The following is a 6,239-nucleotide window of genomic DNA, read 5'->3' on the forward strand; positions in this document are numbered from 1 at the left end:
TAAGCTGCAAGGCTTCCTGCTCTGGCTAGGAGGAATTCCACATGCCCACAGCCTTTCTCTCTGCCCACTGATGCTGAAGCTATCCATAATCATGGAGCTTGATGTCATGCCAGTTCTCAGTGGTGTTGACAGACTCCAGCTCAAAAGTTCCTTTATGAGACCTTGTCCCTCAGTAAAGCTTGCAAATTGCTCTGATCTTAGCAGACAAAGCCATCGCTCATTCTCTGCATCTCTGAATATCCTACACAATAACGTAAGAATTGGCCAAAATTACCCCAGATAAAGCGTCCTTTAGAACATCAAAGTCCCTGGTTTCCAGGCTGTAGGCTGCAGGTATGTGACAGGCCTGACAGCCCAGATGGACAGCAGAGATAAAGCGAAAAGTGAAATTCTGCAGCCACAGCGCCAGGGTTGGATTTGGTGCTAGAGTTTCTGCTGAGGGGATTGTTATCCTCGGAGGTGTGAGCACATTTTGCTTTTACCTTCAAAACCAGGTAATCAGCAGCAGATAACAATCAGAGAAGGCCGCCTTAAACCCTCAGCGAGCTGGAAAGTCTCTCTCTTCCTGCCTGGTTTGTTTAATTTTGGCCTGAGTCAGTTCACATGCACAACATATTTTCTATGTTTTCACTAAATTCCTTGTTTCTAGCTTTGTTTATGGTGTGAGCCTATTTCCCTTTCTTTCATCATCATTGTACTTTCCAGGCAACCAGAGTCTTGTCCACGTTTTTGAAGACCGGCTATAGCAAACTTGCCACGTGACTCAACTGACATAAATAACGTCCAGAAATACAGCCAAACCAGAATCCTGCACACATTCCCCAGAATACATACATGTACAACCTAAAGTCGGCAGCACGGGTTTGAGGGCTCAACCACCCTCTGGCAGAGAAGTTGCTTAGTCCTCTTGCTGGACAGCTAAATTCTAGCTGTCTCTCTGGAAGGGAAACATTTTACCAGGTAATAGAAGAAATTGGAAACTTTTCATATTTTACAGCGGGACCATCAGCTTTACCCTGTCCTATTTTAGCAACAAGAGTTATGTTCACAAAAATAAGCACAAGTCACTTAACTGGGACATGCTCTTTTTTTTTTTTAACGTAGATAATGGGAAACTAGCAAGAAAGAAGTTAGTGATACAGACCTAGTACCAGAAGACGCTGGTACTACGGAGACCCTCTGAAATAGAGTTTGCAGTGAGGATTCGTTTGGTGGTTTTTGTTGTTGTTGTTGTTGGTTTTGTTTTTGGTTGAGTCCAAAGTATTCTCTAATTCTTGATGTGAGGATAATTTGTAAATGTCAGTGACCCACAACAGCCCTGGGACAGTATTTTGAAGGAAAGCAGAAAATAATTCAAATAGTTTCCGTACTATGATCTCTGGCTGATTGACTGATGACATGTAATAAGTTACAGAATGTACTGTTTAGATAAATGCTTCTTGAACCTGGATGCAACTAACAAGCATGCAGGTCACTGTGTGGGGAAGTGCCAGGACGTAGGATGGACCCAGTTAGTGGGTGCCTCTGTCAGAGCGCAGCTGTGTTGGAAAAGCATGGAATAGACTTGAGTCCCGAACAGCTGGATCCAAATCCGCACATTCCTCCGGGTGCTGCCTTTCAAAGCAGCCCCTTTGGGTGGCTGGACTCCCGCTCCCACGATGCAGCTTTGGAACATGCTTGGAATTGCAGAATGTGGACTCACCTTGCCAATAAACCTCACCAAAAAAGGTTAATAAGTCTCATAAAAAAAAGTGATCTCATTACCTTGCTTACGTTCAAAAGATTTTTTTTAAAGAAAACAAAAATGGTGTTACCTACTATGATTATTTCTACACCAGATCTGAGTGACTTAGAACTGTTTTCAAAATGAAGCCCGCCCTCAAAGAACAAGGATTTGTCACTTACAAGGAAAATCAAAATCATGCTCCCCAAGCCCTGAGCTGTCCGGGTATGTTTTAGACAGGGCTGGATTGCTGGAGTGAAATGTGGGCCCACTCCTAACGCGACAACGTCGGGTGCTCCGGTGAGAGCGATGTTTTCTAAGCATGACCACATGACCTCAGATGACACCTGGAGGGTATGTGGTCCACAGTGTGAACAGCTTGTTTGCCTGGTGTGAGGTCTCTGCCACCTGATCAAGTGAAGGGCTAAGAGGCCTTCGAATCTGGGAAAGATACATGGGGACAACACCTTGCCTAGGCGGAGCCACCCTTAGCTGTTATCCCAGGGTCATTTAGACCCATTGTCCCAAGGTCAGATAAAGTCGGTCACTTTAGAGGGTTGCATCTGCTGACCAAGACTTACCCCTGAAGGGCCCAGGTCACAGATGTCTGATTCTGGCCTCTCAGGGAGGTTCTTTCATGTCACTGGAGAGAGAGGTGTGCAAGTGGCCCTAGGGAGGGGCCAGAAAGTATCTGAGCGTGGGCTGCTTCTTGACCCCTCCAGGAGCAGAGGCCCGGACACTCAGGCATCCTGCCACTGTGCCTTTCAGAAAGACAGCAGGGGGTGCATCAGAAATCATCTGACCACTCTGCTTTTTGGCTCATGGTTAGGTCCCATTTGAGACTCGAATCAGAGTAGCTGTGTATTTACCTAAGAGAACTCTTTTTTTAAAATAAAAATAAAAATAAAATAAAATAAACACCAACTTTATTAATGTGATAGCATTTTTTGTTTGTTTTGAGACAGAGTCTTGCTCTGTTGCCCAGGCTGGAGTGCAGTGGTGCGATCTTCGCTCAGTGCAACCTCTGCCTCCTGGGTTCAAGAGATTCTCATGCCTCAGCCACCCGAGTAGCTGGGACTACAGATGCGCAAGACCACACCCGGCTAATTTTTGTATTTGTAGTAGAGACGGGGTTTCACCATGTTGGCCAGGCTGGTCTCGAACTCCTGATCTCAAGTGATCCACCCGTCTCAGACTCCCAAAATGCTGGGATTACAGGCTTGAGCCACCGTGCGGGGTCCCCAATTTTTTTAAAGGAAAATAACACGAAACCAGCACCGCCAGGTAAGTGTTACAAGACTAAATGTGCACATTTCTTGTTTTGATAGCTTCCACACACCAAAGCCCCCTCAAGGACAACTGCCACCAGAGTTGCTGCAAGAACACGTTTTTCACTGGGTTAGCTTCACTGTCAACTCCTCAAGCAGCAGACTGAAATATTATTTCTTTTTAGAAGACCTAAGTTTAGGGAGAACATATCAATATGGAGAACAGAGCTTTGCTTCTGGAATTCGAGAAAAACCATGAACGAATCTATCAGTTTTTCTCTGATACAGTGTGCCCGAGTGCTCTGTGAAGAATCCTTTTCCATTTCTCTCATGTGTCTGGGTGAAGGGAGAGGAGGGGTGGCAAGGTGCTGGTATATTACCAGGCGCTCCTGGTGATGCCCTGGGCTCTGCTCCCTTTCTGCTGGTGGCAGAAGGCTTATTTTCTGGCAGCTGCAGCAGCTTGATGTGGAAGAGGAAGGGGACACCCACCAATCATCTTTTTTTTTTTTTTTTTTTTTTGAGACAGAGTCTCGCTTTGCCACTTGGGCTGGAGTGCAGTGGCACAATCTCAGCTCATTGAAGCCTCTGCCTCCCAGGTTCAAATGATTCTCATGCCTCAGCCTCCTGAGTAGCTGAGATTATAGGCATGTGCCACCACACCCGGCTAATTTTTGTATTTTTAGTAGAGATGGGGTTTCGACATGTTGGCCAGGCTGGTCTGGAACTCCTGATCTCAGGTGATTCGCCTGCCTTGGCCTCCCAAAGTGCTAGGATTACAGGCATGAGCCACTCAGCCCCACCCAATTACCTCTTCTTGAAGCTGTATTTTTTGCATTCATGGAAGACGTCTGTCTTAGAGCTCCCCAAATTGACAATCTTTGGGGAGCCATTTCTATTTTTGACACAGTCTTCTGATGGCAACCACCAGCCTGCTTGCAGCAAAAGATCAAATCAGGATGATGTTTTGCTGTCGCTCCCGATGAAACTGGCCACTGGGCTACCTATTAAGATAACTCTGAACCCAGTGCATAAACCTATCTTTTTCCATTTAGAAATCATTCCCTTTCCTTTCATGAATTCGCCTCATTTAGAAATAGTTTCTTCATTCTCGTTGTCTCCAAATCATTCCAGTTCCAGGAACTGACATTTCAGTTGCTTAGCCATGCCTTCTGATATGTTTCAGACATGCAGGCATTCGGGGTTTTAAACTTATTTTAAAACTGAAGAGAGAGCTGGTCCCTGGGGGCGAGCAGGACAGGGACAGGTCAAGTCACTGCTGGTCCTGCTTCATGAGGGGACACCGATAGGAAGCTTCATAGCAACCCATGTTTCATACCGTCTGGTGCACATATCAATATGTTTTCCAAAAGATAATAAAGGGGGAAAAATAAACATCTTCAATCCCTCTCAGAGAAAGGCTATTCTTCTTAAGAGTCCACACTCACCAGGCCCAGGATCTCCAATCCCACCTCTGCCCTACACAGGTGAATGCTATCTTCTCATTGCACAGATGAGGAAACTGAAGCTCGTGTCAAATAGCCACACAGCTGAGGAAGGTCCGTGCTGGGTTGGCGCTCAGCTCCAGCTGACCCAAAGCTGCCCTATGTGCCACTTTGACGTGTTCACTTCCAGTGAATCATGTATTGGAAAAACAGGTTGACTTGTTTATAGTCAGTGACACAGTCTGACTTACTTCGCTTGTTTTTGTTTTTATGTACCTTGTTGCTGGGTATCTTAAAAAAGAATAACTCTTCTCATGCATGCCTTAAACAGCACAGAATCCTGAACCAACCCTGACACAAAGCTGGTAATTTTTTAAATATTTTAAAGCAAAAAAGTGTAAAGAACAACAAATAAAAACAATTGTACCCATAATTTCACTACTCCACCCTATTTTCATATACTACCTGACATATACGTACATAATTATAATTACAATGTAGATATAATTTTGTTGTTTAACCTTTCAAAAATGTGGTTTGGTGGATAACTCCCTCATTTCTAGCATTTACATAATTACTAATTGCTGGATGTCATACTATACAGTTCACCTATTGACACACACGTGCTTTCCAGCTTTTCCGTTGTATGATCCACTGTAACGAACACTTTCACACATACTGTATCTTTCTTCAGTTATCTTGGGATTAGTTCCCAAGGGGCCATATTAGTGAAATAGTATGGAATATTTTTATACATATCACTAAGTTATTACTCTCCCAAAGTGATAGACCCGATTTGCAGGGCCACCAGTGCCAGTTTTACTGCAACCTTGCCAGCCCAAGTGGGCAAATCTTCCAAACAACACTAATTTGCCTGATGATTAACTATTCAAAATGTTATGTATTTCCTTACAGTTACTGTGGCAAACAATAAAACATCAGAAGAAATAGAAAACTGAATTCAGATGGGATTCTAGTTATAGAATTTTAGTGCTCGTAAAGACCTAAGGAGGGGGAGGCTGGCCGTGGTGGCTCACACTTGTAATCCCAGTACTTTGGGAGGCCGAGGCAGGCAGATCACCTGAGGTCGGGAGTTCGAGACCAGCCTGACCAACATGGAGAAACCCTGTCTCTACTAAAAATACAAAATTAGCCAGGCATGGTGACCCATGCCTGTAATTCCAGCTACTCAGGAGGCAGAGGCAGGAGAATGGCTTGAACCCAGGAGGTGGAGGTTACGGTGAGCCGAGATCGAGCCACTGCACTCCAGCCTGGGCAACAAGAACGAAGCTCCATATCAAAAAAAAAAAAAGAAAAAAAAAAGACCTAAGGAGGGGGAAAAATGAAGGAATCTCTTCAAACTCAGCCTTTACGCAAACACATGAAAAATCACAGACTCATTTGTCTGCAGTCCCAAATCAGGTCATTAAGAAAACGTGGTGGGCCGGGCGCGGTGGCTCACGCCTGTACTCCCAGCACTTTGGGAGGCCGAGGCGGGCGGATCACGAGGTCAGGAGATCGAGACCATCCTGGCTAACACGGTGAAACCCCGTCTCCACTAAAAATACAAAAAATTAGCCGGGCGTGGCGGCGGGCGCCTGTAGTCCCAGCTGCTCGGGAGGCTGAGGCAGGAGAAGGGCGTGAACCCGGGAGGCGGAGCTTGCAGTGAGCCGAGATCGCACCACTGCGCTCCAGCCTGGGGGACAGAGCGAGACTCGGTCTCAAGAAAAAAAGAAAAAGAAAAAAAGAAAACGGGGTGGACAAATCGATGGGGAGGCGGCTCAACCTTTTTCCTTCTCAGGCAGA

At 45.5% G+C, this 6,239-nt stretch overlaps 1 pseudogene; it reads right to left on the minus strand.

Moving 5' to 3' along the window:
- On the minus strand, positions 3,030–3,987 carry PHF5AP6 (PHF5A pseudogene 6; annotated as a pseudogene).

The sequence above is a fragment of the Homo sapiens genome, chromosome 15 (genome assembly GCF_000001405.40).
Source record: "Homo sapiens chromosome 15, GRCh38.p14 Primary Assembly".
NCBI lineage: Eukaryota > Metazoa > Chordata > Mammalia > Primates > Hominidae > Homo > Homo sapiens.